General features: G+C 46.9%; 1 protein-coding gene across 1 annotated transcript in view; it reads right to left on the bottom strand.

Annotated features, from left to right (window-relative positions):
• COL15A1 (collagen type XV alpha 1 chain) overlaps window positions 1–22,824 on the bottom strand; it is a 126,881-nt gene that overhangs the window by 18,689 nt on the left and 85,368 nt on the right. The window contains exons 17-30 of the mRNA NM_001855.5: window positions 17,515–17,550; window positions 16,945–17,085; window positions 16,681–16,749; window positions 15,894–15,929; window positions 15,703–15,786; window positions 13,366–13,431; window positions 11,543–11,578; window positions 9,992–10,054; window positions 7,463–7,531; window positions 7,329–7,364; window positions 4,260–4,313; window positions 4,099–4,158; window positions 2,341–2,409; window positions 2,204–2,245 (exon numbers count right to left, since the gene is read on the bottom strand). Coding sequence (NP_001846.3) covers window positions 2,204–2,245; window positions 2,341–2,409; window positions 4,099–4,158; window positions 4,260–4,313; window positions 7,329–7,364; window positions 7,463–7,531; window positions 9,992–10,054; window positions 11,543–11,578; window positions 13,366–13,431; window positions 15,703–15,786; window positions 15,894–15,929; window positions 16,681–16,749; window positions 16,945–17,085; window positions 17,515–17,550 — 861 coding nt within the window. The remainder of the gene's footprint in view (window positions 1–2,203; window positions 2,246–2,340; window positions 2,410–4,098; window positions 4,159–4,259; window positions 4,314–7,328; window positions 7,365–7,462; window positions 7,532–9,991; window positions 10,055–11,542; window positions 11,579–13,365; window positions 13,432–15,702; window positions 15,787–15,893; window positions 15,930–16,680; window positions 16,750–16,944; window positions 17,086–17,514; window positions 17,551–22,824) is intronic.

Raw genomic sequence — 22,824 nt, 5'->3', positions numbered from 1 at the left:
AATCGTGGCAGTGGTGGTTTGGCCAACTGTGAACATTCTTGTCTTCCTTTCTTATCAGTTGGGATTGATTCATGTGTAAGGTCAAGCATCCGAGCAAGTGACATGCCCAACCGTGAAACCGGGTCAGCCATTAGCTTAGCTATTGCATGTAATCAAAGATGAGCATCATGGGCAGGTAATTAGCAAAGGGGGTTATCATTAGATTGGGGGTGCTATTCTGGACACCTCATTAAGTTTCAGGGGTCTGGAGTCCAGGCTGTTCTGGATAATATTCCTTCCCAGTTTTCCCCAGATTCCTGCATTTCCTTCTCTATTCAGACAAAGCCACTTGAAACCTGGCTTCTTCCCAATTGATGTGTAGAATCAAAGTCATCCGTATGGTGCCAAAATCCTTCTGTGCTTACGGGTGGAGGGTCACAAGCTGCTCAGGGGCCATCAAGAAAAGATGGGAGTGGGGAGGAAATCTACCAGGAAAAACATTTCTAAGTTAAGGATGAAAGTTGCAGCTCCAAGCTGTTATCTTGCAGGCTATGCTGATAAAGTTTCTCCACTACAGACATGAGCTGTAAATGATTAGGGTGTTGGAAGGAGCTGAAACTAGAAGGGGCTCATGAGATGCTGGCTGTAAGAGGAAGCATTTCTGTTTCAAAATGTCCATTTTGAGAGTTGGACAAGAAACGTCTATGACCCAGCTCCTACAGTATCTAGCCAGGCAATATGAAGTAAAAAATCTTACTAAAAATGCTTTGAGCCTATCTTTTCCTTCTTTTAGGTATCCCCACGACCCCCAAAGGCCATGGTTACTGTGAGAGGTCCTGGTGCAGGTCATGATAATTGCAGTAGCATTTTTACCGCACTCTAAAATTTGTCAAGTGCTGTTCTGTGGCTGGCTCATTTGAGGCCTGAAATCATGTTAGTTAGGAGAGGCTGCTGTACTGACTCACTGTGTGACCTGGAGCCAGCCTTTTGCTTCTCTGGGCTGTGTGGTCTCTCCTGTGTGATAAGCAGGTGGGATGCAGCGACTGCCCAGGAAGGTCACTCCAGCACTGAGATTTTATGTTTCTCTTCAGGCCATGGATATAAACACATACTGGGTTGCTGTTGTCTCCATGTAGAGCCTGGAGCCCGTTAGTCACCTGACATAGGTGGGTCCTGCCCTCTAGGCCAGAGTTCCCAGGCCCTGAGCTGCAGACTTGGATGCCTCAACGTTTAGACTTAGCCAGATGTCTGGGCAAATACGCGGCCAAACTGCGTCATTTTGAAGGCTATGACCCAAGCCTTAACATCACCTCCAACAGGGATCAATTACGAACTCACCTCAAAGAATATTTCTAAATTGTAATTTGCAAGCTCCTGAGAGCAGAGGCCACATCCGTCTAGTTCACCGTTGTGTCCCCAGGGCCTGGCAGAGTCCTTAGCACTGCATAAGTGCTCAATAAATATTTGTCGAATGAATGAGAGAATGATTATGCATGGTTCTGTGACTAAGGCCTGTACACAAGGCCCACCCTCCCCACTGGGTTTTCTCACAGAAATCTGACTCTCTTCCTGTGGGTAAAAAATCAGGGACAGAGCTGCTCAATGGCTGGGGGGCCGGGCAAGTGCCTGACCCCTCAGCATCCCAGTGTCTGCACCTGCTGCCTGGTGGTTAGGAGACCTGAGTTATGATCCCAGCTCAGTCAAGTCCCATGACCTTGGACAAGCCAGTGAGCTTCTCTGAGTCACAGTTTGTTTCATTATCATAAAATGGGAGAGATCAGCCCTGCCTGTCAGTGTTGTGTGCGGTGCAGTGATGTGATCACTGGGAAAGGGCAGCATAGTTAGTTACAAAGTTCTCAATGCAAAGATCATGGGTTGGCATGGATTGTTTTCTAATCTATGTTTTCTAACGGGTCTATTTTTCCCAGTTTTATACTACTCCAAGCATGAAGCTAATGTGGTCGCAATAACAAAAGACACTGCTTTTTAGATTGTATGAAAAGAAGCACCTCACCGTGTGTGCACCCTTAGAAGATCCAGTATATTTCATTGCCACGACCTGTTATCTAAAAGCTTCTAGTCACTTGAGGGTCTACACTTAGGGGACAGAAGACATCAGAGAGGACATTTGAGGATAGAAAGGGCCCAAGACAAAGACTGATCTTTTTCTCCAAGTTGCTATCCATGCCAAAGCCTGCTCTTTAAGGCAGTGATTGCTACTTACTGGCATTTTGCAGTGTGGTCGGACGGGTATTGGGAAAATGGCCTGTGGGTAATGAGAACAAGAGAGGTGAGGTCAACAGGACACCTGACTCCAGCTTAGGCCAATCGGGAAGGTCTTCCCACTGCGTGCCAACTTACTCCTTTGATGTTAATCACAGCTCCAGGTGGCCCAGGGGGGCCTGGAGGGCCAGGTAAGCCAGGTGGGCCCTGAAGGAAGAAAAAAAGGCCATTCCATTAGTTCAGGTTGTTGTGAATGCAGGGGCAGCCACAGGACACTTCCTCCAGAGGAAGGAAAGGAGGGTCTGCTGAAGCCAACCAACTTCTCTCTCAGGTTGCTCAGGGAGCCACAGAGCACTTCTATGTCCCTGGCCTCACTGTATCTTCACAACAAACCATAGGGAAGATGGCAGGGCAACAAGTATTGTCTCTGGTTAACACATGCAGCTAATGAGGCCCAGAGAGGGGAGGTGACCTGCTCAAGACCACACAGCAACTTACAGCAGAACTGAGATTGCAACTCAGATTCTGACACCCAGTTGATACTGAGCCTAAGGCTCCCCTATCAGTGCATTCCCAGTATACGGGTGGGAATGGACTGTGGGGGTCCCTCATGTGATATATTGCCAGAGGAAATGTGTCTCAGAAATGCAAGCATAAATGCAAAACTCTTGTTAGATAGCACAGTCATTTTCAAAGTGAAGCCAGCTTGGCCTTAGTACCATGCAACAGTTTCTCCTCTAAGCCTAGAGGCAGGAGCTTGCAGCAGGAGAGGTGAGGCTCTGAGGGCAGGCATGAAGAGTTTAGTTCATGCAGAAAGTGTATTGATCACTCTAAATGAAGGCGTCAGTGTCTGGTTTGCCTGCCGGTTCCAGTGGGCTTGGTGAGTGAGACTCAACCCCTAATGCTTCAGGAAAATAGTATTTCTGGATTTCTGGGCATACAAAGCAAAAGCAGTGTGGCACAAACAGAAGCAGCAATAGACTTAGAGCTGTGTTTACATCTTGGTTTGGGGATTATTAGCTGGGTCACCTTGGGTGGGTGCCTTGACTTCTAGAGGCCCTGGTATCCTCTTATGTAAAACAAGATCCCTGCATAGTATCTCATGCAATAGTTATCACCAAGACTAAATGAGAAACTCTCCTTAAAACACATGGACACAGGAAGGGAAACATCACACTCCGGGGACTGTTGTGGGGTGGGGGGAGGGGGGAGGGATAGCATTAGAAGATATACCTAATGCTAAATGACGAGTTAATGGGTGCAGCACACCAAAATGGCACATGTATACATATGTAACAAACCTGCATGTTGTGCACATGTACCCTAGAACTTAAAGTATAATAATAATAAAACAAAACAAAACAAAACAAAACAAAATCACTTTGCACAGTGTCTGGTACACAGCAGCTGCTGAATAAACATTGGCTTTTTTCTTCTAGACCAGGGTCCCTGCTGCTGCCCAGTGTTTGCCAACCTGGGAGGCCCCACCTAAGTAGCTGATCTGCCTTTGATACTGACTTCCAGCACTCACTGAGCCCCTAGTGATGTGAGTGATCCCTGGGACTGTGTAAAGGAGGGGAGAGGTGACATTACCCTAGAGTTAGAGGCCCTGGGATTTGGAACCACATTTTCTGAGCATGACCAGATCCCTTTCTCCCCTACTCCCTCTGGGTCCTACACAAGAAAGTCTATTTTCCACTAAGGTGTTTTAGGTGGCAGGACCCTCCTGAGAGGGAGCTGAAGGACAGGGCTGGGTGGGAGGACCTTTGGCAGTGGCAGTGAAGGAAGAAGAACAACATTCCTGAACATTCAGTCCACAGGCCCTGCTCTGTGGACCCCACACTCTCTCACCCTCTCTGGACACCAACCTCCGGCTCCATCCCCAGGGTGACTCACCTGCATAATGACCCCTGGATCTCCTTTGGTACCCTTGAGGCCATTCAGTCCTGGGCGACCCTGGAACCCACAGCAGACACCTCAGTAAACCCTCCGCCCACAGACCAGCCTGGCCCACGTGTCCTCCCCCTCCAGCCTGTCCAATGAACACTGATACCTACAGGTCGCCCGGGAAGGCCAAATTCTCCTTTATGTCCTGGTGGTCCTTTGGGCCCCTAGAGGCAAAACAAATGCCAGATTAGAAAAGAACAGAAAGTCTTGGTTCAGGGAAATGAGGAGTGCAAGCCCGCTTTTGCAGGCAGTGGTGACGATGATCCACTGACAGGAGGAAGGAGGGCAGGGAGCCAGGTAGAAGCCCCTGCCTGCGGCCTCCTTGTCTCCAGCCTCTCCGCTCTCAGCTAGAAGCACCTGCTCAACCCACACCATCCCCTGCTTTCCTGCAGGCTCCAACCCACCCCAGACTCTGGACCCAGCCCCTCGCAGTCAGGGTTAACTAAGGAGCAAGAGGTCAGTAGCTCAGGGCCTCAGCTCCCTGGTAGCCAGGTGCTGGGCCAGCCCAGAACATGGACCTCTGCCCTAGGTCTTATGTCCCAGGGCTTATCGCATCCCCCATTCTGAATAACGCAGCCCTGCCTCGCCCCTCAGGCCAGCCTGGCCTGATAACCCACTCTAGGATTTGGTTCCTTCCTTGCTCTAACCTGCCCCTAGGAACCAGAGTCTTGGTCTGACACCCCAGTCATCCAGCTGAGTTCCAGACCATGGACCCTATTTCAGTGCTGGCTTTCCAGGACCACAGGCTTCTAGAACCACTGTTCTGTTGCAACCTTCAGGAACCCTCCTGCCTTCTAATGTCTGGGATGTAAACTACTTGGTTGACAGACAACACCACTGATGATGTATGTCTTCCTAGAACAAATTCTACCCTCAGTCTGCGCCTTTCCAACCCTGTAGCTGGGTCTGCTGTGTCTCCCAGAAGAATGACTGATTTAAGCCTGGGGCACTCCAAGTCCCTTTTCATCCTACCATAAACATACATAGCCATGCTCTGAAAAATGACAAACAAAAACTGAGTTGAAACAGGGTCAGTACGTAAAGTACCCAGTCTGTATTACTCTTAGGGAAAGAAAAGCAAAGACAGATGGGGTTGACAGGGCACAGGCCACTTGGTTGGTATGTTCTAGTGCAACACTTCCTGATATGGTTTGGCTTTGTGTGCCCACCCAAATCTCTTCTTGAATTGTAATTCCACAACCCCCGCATGTCATGGGAGGGACGTGGTGGGAGGTAATCGAATCATGGAGGCAGATTTCCCCATGCTGTTCTCATAACAGTGAATGAGTTCTCCCTAGCTCTGATGGTTTTGTAAGTGTCTGGCATTTCCCCTGCTGGCACTTATTCTCTCTCCTGCTGCCCTGTGATGAGATGCCTCCCACCACAATTGTAAGTTTCCTAAGGCCTCCTAGCCATGCGGAACTAGGAGTCAATTAAACCTCTTTTCTTTGTAAATTATCTAGTCTTGGTATTTCTTCATAGCAGCGTGAGAATGGACTAATACACTTCCCAAACATCAATGTGTGTTAAGAATCACCTGGATCTTGTTAAAAATGCAGATCCAGTATGTCTTGGGTGGGGCCTGAGGTTCTACAGTTCTAAGAAGCTCCCAAGTGATGTCAGTGATGCTGGTGCATGGTCTACACTTTGTGTAACAGGACACCAGTGAATTTGAGAAGGCGTTATAAGCTACACTGGTCACTAGGGCCACAGCTAGCCCACACAGCACCTTCATGCAAATTAGAAGAAGGTGCCACTTACTGCCTGTGTTTGGCAAGCTGTGTCCAAGCTGGGCTTCAGTAGGAACCACCGCCATGGCATCTGCAGCAGCCTGCTGACCCCCACCACTAACTATTTGTATTTTCCACAGTATTGGAGGTTAGTAGGTGGTTAACCAGTAGTTAATACAAGAATCTCTCAGTCTGTCTTAGCTACCTGACTTTGGGTGTCCACTCTTCTTAACTTCAGGGACCAAAGGCCTCAGAAGGTCTTTTGAAGGATTCACCTCGAAAGTTACAGGCCATTCTTCAAGGATACAAGTCTGTTACAGAAATGTGAGGTCCTTTCTCCCCACACCTGAGATCCAACTTCAACCAAACAAACCTGTATACAATTCTCTAGCCCAAAATGTTTCAAATGTTCAATGTTTCAAATGTTCATTAGAGGCAGTGAGGTTCATCTGAGAAGAGACTGGACCTAAAGCCTGACTGGCTGGCCTCAAATCCCCACTCTGCCACTTACAAGCTGTGTCACATGGGCAGGTTACTTAACCTCCTTGGGCCTTAGTTTCCTCATCTATAAAATGGGGATTCTGAGAGTCACTTCTTGGGGTTGTGAAGATGAAATGAGATGACCTATGTGAAGCATCAGTACAGTCTGACCCATAGAGAATGTTCTACACAGGGAAGTAAGTTTAGGGTTCGCCCTTGAGAGAAATGGCAAGAGCTGCTCAGAAGCCCAGATGGGTTATGGATTCCCAGAGCCGTAAGGCCAGAAGGGCCCTAATATCATTTAGTACTAATTCAGTCTCTTCAATGTGCAGATGGGAAAACAGGAGCCCAGAGAGAGAAGAGGGCTTGCACAAGGTCTCACAGCAAATGAGTGGCATATTCACAACCAGAATCAAAAATCCCAGAGAGGTTTTGTGGGGTTCCTTTGAGGGTTTCCTGGGAAATTGGTCATCTTTAGCTGGCAAGTTCTGTGGTATAACTGCAAGTGCACCTCTCCTTCCTGGACACACAGCTAAACTACATTTTGAGGCCACAAGCGTCTGGGTTTTGGCTTACAGAATGTGCCAGAAGTGATGTTTATTATCTTTCACAATCTCTTCCCCCTCCCCAACTTCAGCCTGCTAGCTCCTGTGCGACCTTGAATCCACAAGATGGCAGAATCACAGAATGGAAGCATCCTGGATCCCTGAGTCACTTCTTGGAGGAGAGATGCCAAGCTGAGAACAACCACAGTGGAATTTGCAAGAGCGAGAAATAAGCTGCTATTGTGTTAAATCACTGAAAAGTTTATTTAATTGTAGTCAGCCTTACCCTAGTATATGCACATTTTGCACATCTTTGCCACATCTTTGAATTTTCATAACCGGGACAACTAAATCTAACCAAATCAAAGTATGAAAAATGCTTCAAACCCCAGCCCAGATCCAGCTGAGAGACGCTCTGACTTACCATTGGTCCTGGGGCTCCATGCATTCCAGGTTCACCCTAAAACAGGAAGATATATACTTGTCACTGTTTGGGACAGAAACAAAGATGCAAAGCTGGGGCAGATATGTGCCTGCAGGGTCTGGTGACATAATTACCTTTTTCCCCATCAGCCTTTCCAGAGGAATGTCCTCTGTCAGGATGGCACCCGGCTCTCCCTTCTCGCCCTGCAATTCAGAGAACATCTCAATGAAGTCAGGACTCCTCCTTGCCACCTTGTCCAGAGAGTTTTGTACAGAGACTCCTCCTTGCCACCTTGTACAGAGACCTCTGAGTCCTGCAGCCATGATTTATTTCTCTTGCCTTCATCCTACTTGAAACCCCACTGCTCCAAAATTACCTCGTACTAGAGTATTGCAACAGCCTCCTAAATGAATGAATGTTCTCTCAGCCATTCCCTCTATGCACCATCAGAGTTACCGTCCTAAGGCACAGGACAGTCCTGTCTTCCATGCCCCTTCAGGCTCCCACTGATAACAGATTTGCATCCTCACTCTCAACCCTCCAGGATCCAGCCCCAGTGTGGTCCTGTCTATCTCCTGCCACATGGTGCCCTCAAGGAAGCTCTGGCTCCCAATGTATTTGACAGCTTGCTTTCCTAGCAACTCAACCTGAGATCTGTTCCCACCAAGAATACTTATTCTTGTTAAAACACCTGAAATTAGGAAAGAGATGACGGTATAAAAACTAGAGGCCTCTGTCAACATGGAGGCCTTATGTCTCCATATGCAACGTTGCCTCCAAACTCTAAGCTCCTGTGCAAACACTTACTTAGTTAGGCAAAGCTATCCCAGACATTAGGAATGAGTGATGGGTAGACTGGTGGCAAGAACACAGGATCCTGACCCCAATCCTGTCCTCAGCAGAGACATCTACTATGCTAGAGGCTGCTGAGAAGATGATTGTCAAGAGAACAAGACTGGGTGCAGAAACCTTCTATCTGACTCTGAGGCTTTGGCCCTAAACTTCAATGCTGGCCCCTGGGGAGCAGGGCTGAGCCACACAGAAGTCTCTTTTCAATGGGGCTGGGAGTAGCTAGGACAGTAGCATCAAAGCAAGCAGAGCAGCCTCTTTCTTCCATCCCCCTAAGCCCACACCTGGTATTTAGATCTTACCACTCCACTGATGAGGAAAGGTAGTCCTGAGCACGCCAGCAGGGAGAAGAAGCAAGCACAAAAGCATTAGAGGCAGAGTGAGAGAAAGCACGTTCACTGCAATGGCCAGAGCAGAACTGCCCGGCTGCCTGGACCAGTCATTCAAGGTGGCAGGAGGTTAGGGCGGGGATGTCATGTCCGTCCCTCTAGATCCATCTGACCTTACCACATAGGAAACAGAGTGTTTAAACAGAGTGTTTAAAGCAAGAGGTGCTCTTGCTTCCCTGGGCCTCCTCCCAAGCCTGAGCTGGCCAGCCCTGGTCCATCTCCACAGGCCTGTGGCAGGAAAAGCATCCCAAGACACATCCCCACGTGATGCCAAACCTTCACCCAGCATACCGAGCCCTCCATGCCCTGGAGCAGTGGCCCACTAGATATTGGAGGCCCTCTCCTCCTTGGAGACCATTATATTATAGAATGATGGGGGGAGAGAAGAACGAGAGGAGTTCCCCCATCCCACAGAGCACACCCACCCTCCTTGACTCCCCATGGCAGGCTCAGGGGGTTGCACAGTGCTCCCACTGGCTTTGCACAGAGCTCCATTCCAGCTGTAAGCATGTGCTCTGTTAGCTCTTTGCATATCTCTTCCTCATCTTATTTCTATATCCCTACGCCTAGCACAGGAAACTGCCTGGCACACCACACGGGTCAGTGGACGAAAGATGGATGAGTATATACATGGACGAGTGAATATATTAATCTGTTTATGGACGTCACTCTCCCCCTTATCTATAAAAACCAACTGGAAAGTTAATTCTAAGAGGCAAACACAAAAGAATACAAGCACAACAATAGGTTTGGTACCCTGGGAGTTCTCAGGAAGTGTTCTGTGTGCTAAGTATTTATTCCAGAGACTTTGGACCAAGACTGTTGTTCAACTGCAGAATGCTCAATTTATAATTTATAAATATTAACATTTGTTCTACTCATTAATTATACATGCTTTCGTCCAACAAGTGTATTCAGTACCATTTGTATACCAGGCCCCATATTAGTATTGGAGCTATGGAAAAGAAGCTGGCAGGATGCCTGTCCTCAGGCAGTGCATGTTCTAAGGGGGATGCCCAGCAGGTGGTTAGACAAAGCACAGTGTGTGTGAGAACAAAGGAGTGTTGAGTTGAGTTCTCTTTCCAAATTATGGTAAAAATCAATTTCACTACCCACTTCGTACCTTCTCGTCTCATAGAGAACCTGGAGATTAAAAAAGTTAACAGCTGGAGAGTGACCGCTAATAAGTATGGGGTTTCTTTCTGGTATGATGAAAATGTTCTAGAATTACAGAGTGGTTCATGAGGTTGTACAACCTTATGAGCCCACCAAAAATCACTGAATTGTACAATTTAAAGGGGTGAATTTTATGGCATGTGAATTGTATCTCAAAGAAGAGAAAAGTTAATAGCTATTTTCAGCCAATCTGAAACGTTTAGCAAATTCCAGCGCCCAATCTCACTCAGATACCTGGGCCCCTCTTACCTGTTCTCCTTTTAGTCCTGGAAAGCCAGGTAAACCAGTGTCACCTTTTGGTCCTCTAGGACCCTGGAAGGAATTGTTATATAGTATTTGGTTGTTCGTTAAGATTAAAATGCATAAACCAATCAGAAATATATTTTTTCTCAACAGTAGAATACACACTGCCATCCCCCAGGTAGGTGGAAGTCATGATTACCTATGACATTTTCTTAACCTTAAGTGGTCCAGAAACTGTGGTCTGGCAGAAAGAAGATAGCACTGAGTGTTAAGAGGCCTTGAGGCTTCACACTTTTTTGAACATTGGTTTCCTCCAACTGGGCACTACTGATCCAGCCTATTATCTGGGCCTGCTGCATCTGCTTGCCCCACGGCTCCTCCAGGCCACCCTGCAGCCCGCCTCCTCCACTATCCCCTTCCACGACTCCCACCCCTTCTCTGGCTCCCCACTACCTATGAGATGGGACCCAGGTACCTTAGCCTGGCACCCCAGCCCATCCCAGCCAGGCATCAACATCTCATCTCCCACACCATCAGGTTGACTCCCTTCCCGCAGCCTCTCTGCACTCCTCCATTGCTTCTGCACCAGCACTCATGCCACCCCCCCCATAGGAATGCCCACCCACCCCTCTGCAGAGCCAAATCCACACATGCAGCCAGAGGCAACCTCTTCTCAACTCCAACAGACACTGAATGCCTGTGACAATGACTCACACAGCCACATCTGCCTCAAAAAGGCATTTCAACACTTTATTGCTATTTTAACTTTTCACAAGTTCCTGTCTTGTCTGGATGAAAGAGTGAATTACCCATTACAGCAGTGGCTTTCAACTATTTGTTATTATTGTTTAGCAGTGAAACTCTTTTCCTTCCTTTTTTTTCCCCCAAATAAAGTCTTAAATGAAAGCCTAATATATACAAATATGTCCAGTGAAGCTTCCCTTATTGAAGGTCAGTGGCCTGGAATGTGCCTATTTGGCCCCCTCCTTACTCCCTGCAGTGGAGGTCCTGGAGGCTCTCCTGCAGAGCCTGGGACTCCCTCAGGAACACAGGACCACTCATTTAGAGGAAAGTGTGCTCTGAAATGTGCCCCAGGTCTTGGAGCAGCCAAGCCGGGGCTGGAGCTTAGGGGTTTGGCCTTTTCTTCTGCTAACCAAGAATCATGGTCAGAGTCATGGTCACAATCGTGGTCATGGTTGCCATTCTCTCTTTTGTTTTTTAACGTCTAGTTAGCACTATTTTTAGTGTTATCATATGATATGTGCCTTTAGAAAATGTAAAAAGTTCAGAAAATCAGCCAGGCTCAGGGGCTCATGCTTGTAATCCCAGCACTTTGGGAGGCTGACGCAGATGGATTTCTTGAGCTCAGGAGTTCCAGACCAGCCTGGGCAACATGGCAAAACCCCATATCTATCAAAAATATCAAGAAAAAGTTAATGAACAAGATGCCCCTGGAGCTCAGTCATGCATAGATGGAGGAAATGCCATTCTAGGTGGAAGGAACAGAATGATCGCAGCCACGGGGCACAGATAGAAGACAGCGAGGGTGGTACTTACTGGAAATCCTGGCAGCCCAGGCAACCCGTCCGGCCCCTGTGACACACCAAAGATAGAGCACGCTGGATTAGGAGCGGCATTTCCAGAGTCAGCAGGACCCCCTCCCTCCCAGCCCCTTCCAAAGGCCTCAGCATGTTCCCACAGCTGGGAAGACGGATTGACACAGCATTAGGGAAGAAGGGGCCCTGTGAGGGTCTGGATTTGCCAAGGGGAGGACAGTGACTGGAAAGAAAGCAAGGAAGAGAGAGAAGGGGTGGAGGCATGGTAATGCAGGCAGACAAGGCCCAGGGACTGTGAGGACAGGGATGCCCAATCTCTGGTTTTAGTCTCTCTGTGTTTTGCTTCAGTATCCACCCACCTAATATCAGAAACCTCCAATAGCTTGGGGAAAACAAAGACCCCTTGGGAAGAAACTTTCACTTGTTAGCTGGTTTGCTCTAGGGTTTCATTATTGAGGTATTTTGGATTATTGGTTTTCATAGAAATCAAATGGATGCAGTACAGAGGAGACAGGAAGATGGCTCACAATGAGGTCACTCAGCAGGGGAGAAACCTGGTGCCAGAAGAGTCTGCAGATATTTGCAGGAATCTTGGGGCAGCACTAGATTTTCCCCTGGATCTGGATGAATGGGATTCAGGGCAACCTCATGGGGATCTGCAGGAGAGGCAGGGACATCGGCATTGCACAGCTGTGAAGGCATAAACCTGTCTCCACAATGACTTGCACAGAGCGTCACAGTGTGCTAAGCAGTTTCACATCCCTCACTTCTTACAAGTTGCCTCAAAGGCTGGTGAGGTGTCATCAGAGAAGAGAATTAGGGGCTCAGAGTGGTGTGTGGAGAAGATGGGGCTGCAACCTCAAGGCTCCTAAGGCCAGAGCTCCTTCCTTTCTCCTGTGCTGACCAGCAGATGCTGGGAGATGCAATGAGTATTTATTCTACAGGCTGTAGGAGGAAGCTTCCTTCATCTTAGGGCCATTGTGCCATGAGTCAACTCTGCCAACTTGCAGAAATAATGTATATTTTGGTTTTTTTTGTTTGTTTGTTTTGAGATAGAGTCTCACTTTGTCACCCAGCCTGGGGTGCAGTAGTGCGATCTTGGCTCACTGCAACCTCCGCCTCCCAGGTTCAAGTGATTCTCGTGCCTCAGCCTCCCAAGTAGCTAGGATTACAGGCACATGCCACCATGCCCAGCTAATTTTTGTATTTTTAGTAGAGACAGGGTTTCAACATGTTGGCCAGGCTGGTCTCAAACTCCTGATCTCATGATCTGCCTGCCTCAGCCTCCCAAAGTGTTGGGATTACAGGCGTGAGCCACCACTTCTGGCCAAAAATAATGTGTATTTCTTATATACATTATAATCCCATTTTAGAGATCTGGAAATTAACACACAGATAATTTCCAGAGTTCTAAAATGGGGCTATAAAGACTAGAATGAGTCCATTTCTTCCTCGTTTCCCTTGAGCACAAGGAAAGGTGTCTCCAGGCTCTTCCTATACTATGAAATAAGATAATGTAAATAAAAGCAGGCCAAAAGTGTGCAACAGATGTCATCTGTTTGTTACTTAGCATTCTCTAATTTCCATGACACATATTGCCGGTGCACAGGACTGGAAGCTTCCACTGCTTTGGAGACAACTTTCCACATGATCAAATTAATGTGAAAGCAACTTTTCAAAAAATGCAAAGCTTTCTTTCCATTCTACTTTGATATATTCTAGCTCTACGCTTCAGGAGCTAAAAGGATTCCAAAGTAACCCGACTTTGTTTCAACAGGGGCGTCTGGGTAAAAGCCACATTCTGGGGCAGCTGTAGATACCAACCGGAGGCCCCACCAGCTCAGGAATGTCCGAGAAATTCATGAATCCATGGGTGATATTGATCAAGGACTGAAAAGAGAAAAATCAGACAATGAGGACAAAGGATGGCATGTGTTCTGCCTTGTTCCTGGCAGCAAAGCTTTAATTAAAGTCACCCAGCATAGCGGAACACCGCAGACACTGAGAACGCCCTCAGCCCACTGCCAAACACAGCTCTCCCTCCCCCTTCTTATAAAACAGCTCTGAGCTGCCTTCGCACTTTCCTCCTTTACTTAATTTTTAAATCACACAATATACGAATGTCTTCTCTTTTTAGAGTTTAAACATATACATATTATATGCACCCACAGAAAGCACAGTGTTGGGGTGTGTGTGTTTGTCCATGTGGTTATTTTACATAAATGGCATCAGGCTGTATTACTCCTCAACTTGCTTTTTTCACTCGGCCATATTGTGTGGAGATCTTTCCATGTGGAATTTTGGAATATGAATATTTTTAGCTTTAAAAGACTGCCAAAGAGCCATCCAAAGGGGCCAATTTACACTTCCACCAGAAGCACATGAGATTACCTTTTTCCCCACACCCTTACACATATTTGATTTTTAAAAATCGTGTTTTTTTTTTCTTCTAACTTTAGTCATCCTTTTTCCAGTTATTTGGGGCTTGTCTTTCTGTGGTCTACCAGCATGATGTTATTTCTCTCTAAAGGGCCAGGATTTTTCATGATGTGATGTCTTAATATTAAATGCATGCGATCTGGTCCCAGCCCACATTCCAGCCTTCTCTCCAATTTCCATCATTCTCTACACACACCCATGTGCACTATCCTCTGCCAGTCAGCTCCCTCGACCTGGAGCACACCACATTGTCCTACCCTCTGCTTTGGCTCAGGGCATCCCTGACACTAGAGCTTTGGAAGTTCTGTCCTCCGTGCCTACCTGGTAAAATCCTTCTCAGCTTTCCAATCCCTGCTCAAAGATACTTCCTCTAGGAAGTCTTCCTTGATTCCTCATAACCCAAACAGTCTTTTCTCCCTTGTTCCCCTCTTTATGTTCATTTGCCTGTCAGTTACAGCTCTGTTACAGCCCTTCTCCTGACCTCACTGGAGGCTCCTTGAAGACAGGAACTCTGTCTTACTTATCTTTATTTTTAATTTTTTAAAATAGAAACTTTTTTAATATCAGAGACAGGGTCTTGCTATGTTGCCCAGGCTGGTCTTAAGCTCTTGGGCTCAAGCAGTCCTCCTGCCTCGGCCTCTCAAAGTGCTGAGATTACAGGTGTGAGCCACTGTGCCTGGCCTTACTTATCTTTATACCCACAGAGCCTAGCATGGACCTGATGCAGAGTGCATGCCCATGAGTGCTTATGCCAGAGTATTTATCATAGGAATAGAGAATTCAATGACACCAAACATTTCATTCAGCAAACACTGATTAAACCAGCACTATGAGGCCAGTGGTGGGGATACAGAGAAGAAAAAAAGCCCCAGAGGGCAGGTGGAGGAGTCAGACATGTAAATAGGCCACTTGCTGTACCATGATGGGGGTTTGAAGGATGAAGTTACTGCCTTCCTTGTTGAGGAGAGTTGGGAAGAGGATGCTTTCCTCCATTTGTGTGGACATCTTCCCATGTGGGATTTTGGAGAATGGGTATTTTTAGTTTTAGTTTTAATAGACTATCAAAGAGCCATCTAAAGGGAGCACATAAAGATGTTTCCTGTGACATGAAGGGTGTAATCCTTGGCTTCTCTTGGCTCCTGTACCCCCTCCGTGGTGAGGTGGAGGGACCTTCCTGATGGGCAGTTTGGGAAGCACCAAGGGGCATGCCCAGCTCAGCCACACTTCTTTCCTTCAGATCTGCCTGCCTCTGGGAAGCACATCTGGCAACCCATGGGCAAGTCCGTCTGATTGGCAGGAACATGTGGCTCTCCCACTGGGTGAAGGCCTTCCACCTAACCTCCATCAGTAATCAAGGTGGTATCTGGGCCTACCTCCTCATCTTTGGCTTTATTTCTCAATGTGCTCTGCACTTGGCTGGGGAAAGTGTGCACTGCTTATCTGGGGCTTCCTCAAGACCCCAACATCTCTAATGCTCCTAGCCTGTTTTTTCAATTGACCCCAAATGCTGCTAATCAGAAGAGACAAATCTAGAAGCACCATGTGAGAGAACAGTGGAACTGGGGGAGGAACAGGTAGGTGCTGGCAGGTGGAAGTTCTAACACCAGGCACTGGCTACATGCCTCCTGCATAGCCAGAAGCTTTGAAGTCATGGACAACCTTCTCCTCCCTTTGGCAAAGGTGGAAAATATGTAGACAAGCTCTGACCTGAATGATACTCACATTAGACAAGACCTTGATGTGCCCAGGTGGCCCTCTCGGCCCAGGGGGTCCCACAATACTGGCTCCATCCATCCCCCTTTCTCCCTGGTCAAAGCAGCAAGAAGTGAGAAAAAAATTCACTGTACAGCGATAATGCTCCCAGAACCAGGCTGGAAAGCCCTCCCACCCCCACCTTGGCTCTGTGACCTCACCTTGGGTCCCCGGTCTCCTTTCTCTCCTTTGAGACCCTGGAAAAATAAACAAAAATAAATATTCTTCTAGTCACTTTGCTCACCTCCATCTAGCCTCTTGTCTCACCATCTCCCCCTAAGCTTTTATGCTTATTTTGTCCCAGGCAATGGGAACCAAGAATAAGCGAAAAATGCCCCTTCTGGAGTCAGAAGGAAGCAACACTCCACAGAGTGAGAGAATCAGCGGCCCTCTCCCAGCATTGGGTGAGGGTCCTCTTGACCCTGAATCTGTGCTAGACTGAAGGGCTCAGCTCTGGGGCCCATTTAACAAAGAGAATGAAATCCAGGGGATCGGTCCTCCTGAGAGCCGGCATCGCTTCATGGCAGGAGATGGACAACACCTGCCAGGGGCTGGAGGCAGTAGGGAGGGGCACCTGCCAGGAGCACAGGGCTTTGACCTGGGGCAAAGTGTGTGCATTGAATGGGGCAACTGGAGGGAGGAAATAAAGTAGAGATGCTTAGTGGTAAGAGACAGAAGAGGCAGAGGGAGAGAGAGAAATAGATGAAGAGAGATAAAAATGATTTTCAAGTTCTCTTCCCACATCATGTTTTCTGCAAAACTTCTATGCTGTTCCTCAAAGACACAAGCTGTAAAGAGCATCTCATTTCCCTATTGCACAGTTGGGGGCTGGAGGCACAGAGAAGGTGAGTTATTGAAAGTGGCAGAGCCGGGATGCAGCCCACAGCTTCCTCACTGTAGTGTGACAGTGTGACAACCCTCATAATGAAGGTTTCAGAGGCGACCTACAATTGCAGCCGTTGGTCTGGAGAGTTTGGGTTCATTCAATAGCTGGGTGCTTCCAGAGCCTTCGGTATCCTGGGGAAGGAGCAAGAATGAGAATTTCAGATCCAGTTCCTGGGCACCTACTTGTGCCAGGTGTGGTGTTGGAAGCTGGCGGCTCACAGGGGAATCCGCACAGCCTCTGCCCTGAGACCAGGGTTTAGCTAGCTGGTCTTTCTAGTAGCCCTTAGTACACATCATTTTTATAACCACAGAAAAGGGGAAAAGTACCTCGAATCCAAGTCCCATTGTGCATCCAGGGCCTGGGGGCCCAGGGGGTCCAGGAGGCCCTGGGGGTCCCATGACCCCAGGAGGGCCAGCTTGTCCCTTTTTCCCCGGGGGTCCAGGTAAGCCTCTGTTGCCAGGGTCACCCTGTAGGAAAGAGGGCAGGCTGATTATCTAGCCCTGGGTTCACTCATGGAAGGAACAACATGCATGCCTGAATCAGAAAATCACTCCTTGAAGTTAATTAGGTTGATGAATTCTCTGATCGGTACCACTTAATGGTACAGAAACAGCTGTCTTGCTAATTGACAGTTCACCTGGAGATAAGCTGATGCACTCATTTGAATGCATTTGGAGGGAGGGGTGAGGAAGGAGAAAACATTGAAGTGTGTTTACTCCCCACCATCCCCAGCTGTTCTGCCTTCTCTGAGCAATTCCTTTGAGATGTGTTCCTCTCTGTTCCATGACATTTATATGTTCAATATTCCAGCCCAGCAGTCCAATTATAGTAAACTCAAAGAAAGGGGAGGAGGGAGAAGAAAGTTCTTTTTTTTTTTTTTTTTTTTTTTTTTTTACCTTTTCACCAACTGAGCCATTAGGCCCTCTTGCTCCCTGAAAAAAACAAAAACAAAAACATGGACCAATTAATGCATATGTCATGAGGTGTGTTCTGAAGACAATGCACAATTATGGACTCCAAGGAAATAGGATATTAAAATAGGACTCTTTCTGTCTCAGATTGGTGTCTCCAAACCAAACACATTACAATAGGTGCCAGTCTGTTGGGCAGGTCATGCTGAAAGCTTGTGAAACCCACTTTTCAACCATCAGCTCATCACCTACTGCAAGAGTAAACCAGAGAAGTTAAAGATTAATGAGGGAGAGATCATAGAAGATTTCGCTTGGAGAGCTGCCAGTGGACTGGAGTGGTCCCCTTCCCCACCCTTCCCATGACGGAGGTAGAGGGTACTTCACCCACTCTAAAGCGAGGGAAGGGGCTTCATGATCTGAAATGTATCCCCTAGACTTTTGGATATATGGGGGATGATGACTGGCTCTCTTGTGGAAAGATCTAAAGACCCAAAGCTGGCTGGAGTAGTCCCCAGAAGACAGAATTGGGGAGGAGGTTGCATTAGGGCAGGTTGCATGTCCACACCCAGTGGGGACCACACTACAGTTTCCTGGGGGGTTAGATGCAGATGTCACAGAAAGGAGTCGGCTGTGAGCTCCAAGCAGAGGAGAGGACCAAAGCAGGTGGGCGGTCAGGAGTGGTCAGCAATGAGGACAGTGGCCTACATCAGAGGACTGTGGTAGGGGGCCCCCAGATGGAGAATCTCTGAGGAAACCACAAATGCACCTGCAAGAGATGAAGTCAGCAATTGCATGCCACACAGGAGGTCCTGAGAGAGATGCTGATGTACCAGCCATCAAAGACTATGTCCTTCCCCCCAGTCATTTTTGTTCCTGGGCTACAGTCTCCTCCTTATATCAAATCCATGGAAATGAGAGAATGGATAGTTCTAAAATAGCCGTGCTCAAAAATAAGATGGGGAGTGGCATTAAATCCAAAATAGAAATGCCAAGGGGAAAACAGGGAAGTTGAAGACAGGGGCCTCAGCCATCAAGAGAAACCACAGGGAGAAAAGTCTGCTGTGAAGCTGTGATGGAAGTCAGGTGCATGATGTGGCCCCTGGGCCCCAGAAGGTAGATAGGTTGAAATTCTGCAGCAGGCTAGCTGTCCAGCCCTGCCCATCTCCCCTCCCCTCCCACCCTCACTCCTGCCAAGGAGAAAATATGGATACCTTAATTTTAGAAAACAACAGTTGTTTATTGGGCTAAAGACATAGGGCAGAGCCCCAGATGACTAGGAAACTCTGTGAGGTCCAAGGGCACCCTACACGCGGAAGATCAGCTGCTGAGGTGCCCTGCCTGATGGCACATCTTATTCCTTCCATCCCCTTCCTGAACCCTGCATGTCTCAGAAGGGGCTACTGCCCACCTCCCAACAGTCTGCACCAACAGAGGCAGAAAACAGACTCAGGCAGGATCCCAATTTCACAAGTAAACACACAAGAAAGAAACACAAACATCTGAGGCAAGGCAATACTGTGAGAAACAACTAAGTCAACTACAGAATTTACATCCAAGGAAATGGAGTTAAGAAAACAATTCAATCAGGACATTGAGTATAAGACACACATTCTCACAGAGAAAAGGTAGGATAACATAGCCATGACACAAAGACAAGCTATTATGAAATAAAAACAGTGGTTATGATAAAGAACCAATTAGAGATCTTGGAAATTATAAATAGAAAACTGTCGAAATGCAGAACTCTGCAGAAGGACTGCATAACAGAATAGACACACCTAAAGAGAGAATTAATACAGAGATCAAGCTACAGAATTCTCCCAGAAAGCAACACAAGAGGGTAAAAAGACCTAGACAGAATGACAAAGTAGTAAGAGAGATAGAAGCCACAATCAGAAGTTCCAACATCGGTTTAATTGGAGTGGCAGAGGAGAGAATAAAGAGAAAGAAGGAATGCAGTGTTTAAATTTTCTGAAAAAACACAGAAGTCTCCAGATTAAAAGGCACCCCTCCCCCCAAAAAAAGTCCATAGAGTACCAAGAAGGATAAATGAAAGAATACATTTAAAAAATAATTCACATTGGCCATGCTTGGTGGCTCAGGCCTGTAATCCCAGCACTTTGGGAGGCTGAGGTGGGCAGATCACAAGGTCAGGAGTTTGAGACCAGCCTGGCCAACATGGTGAAACCCCGTCTCTACTAAAAATACATAAGTTAGCTGGGTGTGGTGGTGTGCATCTGTAATCCCAGCTACTCAGGAGGCTGAGGCAGGAGAATCGTTTGAACCCAGGAGGAGGTTGCAGTGAGCCAAGATCGCACCACTGCGTGACTCCATCTCAAAAAATAATAATAAATAAATAAAAATAAATTAAAAAATAAAAATAAAATAGAAACAATAATCCACATTTAGTAACAATGCAGAGGAATTTTTAAACACCAAGAATAAAGAACAATAAATCCCCAAATTTGCCAAAGAGAAAAATCAGATGACCTCCAATAGAGTGAGAACCAGAGTGAATCTGACTTTGTGCTGACAACACCGGATGTTGGAAGATGATGGTGATCATCTTCAAATCATCAAGGGCAAATGACTTTCAACCCAGAATTCTATACTCAACCAAATAAGAAAATAAAAACATTTTAAAAAATCCAGGGTCTCAGAAAGTTTGCCATCTACAGACAGTCTGTGAAAATATGACTGGAGGACCTACTCTAACAAAAATAATTAAAGAGGAAATAGGACACATGAGGCAATGAAAACTATATTCATATATTACTTTTATAATTACAATTTAATTTTAATTTTAATAAATGCTTGAAGTAGAGTTGTTCTGTCCTCACCTACCAGCCCGAAGGCACTTCCACAAAGTCCCATGGCTCTGCCAGGGCACAGAAAACCAGGGACTAAAGCAATTTGCAGGTTCCTTCCAGCTCTGAAACTTTGGGACTCTAGTTGAGTATGAGCCTAAGCAAAGCTCTCAGGATAGATGAGAAAGATGAGGCCATGACGTGTCCGCAAAACTGCCTGCACACAATAGGCAACCCCCACGCAACAATCTCCCCCTTTCTCCTTCACAGACTCGAGCCCATGCTGTTTGCTTGGTAGTTGTGATAACCTTCCTCACGGAACTGGCTGCTCCCATGGGTGAGGTTCATGGGTTTGCTAGGTGAGGGTTTCCACCTGATGCTGGAGGAAGACAAATGCCTCTCACCTGGGGGCATGCGTGGGGCATGGGAAGGGTCCCATCTCTTGCAGTGTTTTCCTATTGGGACACACTACCCAGTTCTTGGCCTAGGAATGGGGATCACAGGGGCTGAGGGTGGTCTGGGCTCCCAGGTGAGGCACCAGGCTCTGGAGGCAGGCTCTGAGGCTGGAGTGGCAAGGAATTTCTGCGAGCAAAGCCCTCCATAAGGTCTCCAGGGGCAGCTTCATGGAAAGTTGGTGCCTCTGTGGCAAAGGAGCCAGCAGGGACACTCCAGCCATTCTGGGGAGATGGGAGGAGAAGGTGTGCTCGGTGAAAGAAGTGACAGCGACTAGGCTCTGTCACCTCCCTGCTGGCCAGCCTCACCAGGGAGAAACTAAGTGTGACCTTCCACCTGCAGTGGAAACATGACTCCAATAACTGGATGCCAATTTTATAGCCTAACCCAGAGGCTACAGTTGCTATGTCTGCTCCTCTTGGGTATGATTGGCTTGTTGCTGGCTGCCCATTGCAAACTGTCTTTAATGAAAGTGCCAATCTTGTGCATCTTTTCAGTAACAAGTCAAACTACCATCAGGATTGTTGTGAAACAGAAACTAAAGTAGCCTCCCTCTAAAAACCTTGTAGCTGCATGGCCGGCTGATCTTGTTACAGAAAATTATGTCCATAAAGTGAAAAACTGAATTGTTTCAGTTGCCTTCCTCATTCCTTTCCAATCAAGAGGGCATCTTATAGAGTTTCAAAGGAAGTTCTAGAAGATATCATGGGCCTTGGTTTATGGTCTTAGATGATTTTATCCAGCTTAGACATGGTAAAAAGAGAGTATCTGAATCCATTCCATTGACTCACAGATAAGATGGCCATCAGCTTGGAACACGAGTAGATTAACTTGTGGGTAGAAGAGTCCACTTTACTGGAACTTATGTGAACAGGCAGGGTGAAAAGGAGGAGCTCCAATGAACAGGCTGAGGGAAGGCTCCTATTCCCAAAATGGTGATGTTGGAGTTGTACATTATTTCTTAGTGAGAGAATTTTTGTGCAGTGAGGGCATGCATGCAATCTTGGAATTCCAAATAGCAGAGCTGCAAGTATGGTTTTAAAAGTGATGAAATATGAAGGTATCAGTTCACTAATGGAAACATTGCAAAGGAATGAGGTAAAATAGTGCCGTCTGTTACAACATCGTGGTTTAGAATTGATTCAAAATGTTGGCTTACTGTGGTGAATTGGATTTTCTAAGGACATTACTCAATTTCAGCACACAGGAACCTCAAAGAACCTAATGGAGATGAGGATTCTTTTTGCTTGTGTGGCTTCTGAGACAGCACATCTTACTGCCTTGTGGATGTCTGTTGGTTTTCCTTCTGCTGTTTGTAATACTGATAACCAGTTTCTTTTCTGTTACAATTGACTATGGTCTATATGATTTTTTTTTTTTTTTTGAGATGGAGTTTTGCTCTTGTTGCCCAGGCTGGAGTGCAATGGCACGATCTCGGCTCACTGCAACCCCGGCCTCCCGGGTTCAGGTGATTCTCCTGCCTCAGCCTCCCGAGTAGCTGGGATTACAGGTGCCCACCACCATGCCCAGCTAATTTTTTGTATTTTTAGTAGAGATGGGGTTTCGCCATGTTGACCAGGCTGGTCTCAAACTCCTGACCTCAGGTGATCCACCCACCTAGGCTTACCAAAGTGCTGGGATTACAGGAGTGAGCCACCGTACCCAGCCATCTATTTGGTTTTATGGAGGCCTATAATCCAGATGTTGAACCAAACACTTCTGATAATGAAAGAAGATATAAAATAGGAAATTAGGCAACTATTTCAGTGTTTCATTTAAACATGTTGTTAGAAGGTCTAAACCCATTACTGCATCCTAGGCAAAAGCAGCTTACTTCTCTTTTCTTTCTTATACAAGGTTTAGAGAATTGTTCAAAGACCAATTGGGATTGCTTGGAGAAAGGGAAGGTGATGATGATCTAATTGTATTTCTCTTACATCAACGGAAAAGACAGAAGCTGATTTTACAATGACAGTTTGGCAGCTCAGTGAAATTACTCAAAGGCAATTACTGGCAATTCAGCATTCCACAGTAA

The sequence above is a fragment of the Homo sapiens genome, chromosome 9 (genome assembly GCF_000001405.40).
Source record: "Homo sapiens chromosome 9, GRCh38.p14 Primary Assembly".
Taxonomy (NCBI): Eukaryota; Metazoa; Chordata; class Mammalia; order Primates; family Hominidae; genus Homo; species Homo sapiens.
The sequence above is the reverse complement of the archived record's forward strand: the minus strand, read 5'-3'. Positions and strand labels throughout refer to the sequence as shown.